Source organism: Homo sapiens, chromosome 10, assembly GCF_000001405.40.
Source record: "Homo sapiens chromosome 10, GRCh38.p14 Primary Assembly".
Lineage (NCBI taxonomy): Eukaryota > Metazoa > Chordata > Mammalia > Primates > Hominidae > Homo > Homo sapiens.
The window spans coordinates 36,002,104-36,003,222 of NC_000010.11; the positions used below are offsets into that span (position 1 = coordinate 36,002,104).

Sequence of the window (1,119 nt, forward strand, 5' to 3'; positions counted from 1 at the left end):
TGTGTGTGTGTGTGTGTGTGTGTGTGTGTACACACACACCAGATTCTCCGGAGAATCCTGACTTATATGGGTTGTGGTTTACTTATTTGGAATCTAAGTTTACTGGGAAGTTATTCCTAAAGAACACAACTTAATTTTTCCTAATTGGTTAAAAGATGTGCAAATCTCTTAAGGACTTGTCATTAGATCACTGTTTGTAGACCCTGACTGCATATTAGAATCAACTGGGGAGACTGAAAAAAATACTGACGTCCAGACCCCACTCCAGATCAATGAAGAATCTCTAGGGTGTAACCTGGCACTGGGATTCTAAAAAGCAGGGTCAAGAACCAGTGAATTAGGCTGTCTCTGGGAAGAGGAAAGGCATCACTGAGAAATCAGAGAGCGAGCCTTCTTCCCAGGGCGTAAAATGTAGCCACGAATGAGGGACAAATTAACCAGGAACAATACTCACACTGATTACACCTCTTCACCCCTGGCATTCACTGCTGGCTCACTGGAACTTTCAGTTGCAGGAAGCCTATAATTTATGGGATTCCTTTGAAAATGCTTCTGTGAATAATGCATATCTCTGTCTACCGTCCATCAAATGATTTTGTCATTCCAAGTGGGTATGACCAATATGAATAGTTGGAATTGAGCTCCTGCTGGACTTGAAGGAGGATCACCCCTCTATTCATAATTACCTTATGTCATCGAGAAAGAGCTTTGCCCTGGATTCACAAAAGACTTTGGCTTGACACGTTACCTTACCTTAACCATATGCTACTGTGCAGGCAAAAAAAAAAAAAAAAAAAAATAGTGCCTTTTGAACGCTGACTGGAATTATATTCATTCCCCCAAGATAAATAGATTCTGTGGAACATATTCATTTTTTTCAAAGCCCATTCAGCATCGAGGAACATGCGTCGGATCTTTAGGTGGGTGGTGGTGCCAGAGCCAGACGAAGTGAGTTGAGGCAAATTAGCGAAGGTTCTGCCCCCAGCACTGACCTCCCTTTGGTCTAAGGGGCCATCCCATTGTCTCCACGAAGGATCCCTCTGCTAGAACCTTGGCCTCTCACCCTTGTCCTAATTTGTTAAGGTGAAGCTTGAAAGTGGAGCTATTTTTACCCCGGGC

General features: G+C 43.3%; 1 annotated feature.

The window, feature by feature from the left end:
• Positions 241-442: a silencer, noted in NCBI's record as "fragment chr10:36291272-36291473 (GRCh37/hg19 assembly coordinates)". NCBI's record gives its function as "represses an EF-1alpha promoter that drives an FKBP-Casp9 reporter gene in an ReSE screen in phorbol 12-myristate 13-acetate-treated (for megakaryocytic differentiation) K562 erythroleukemia cells {active_cell/tissue: K562(+PMA)}" and the evidence as "EXISTENCE:reporter gene assay evidence [ECO:0000049][PMID:32094911]".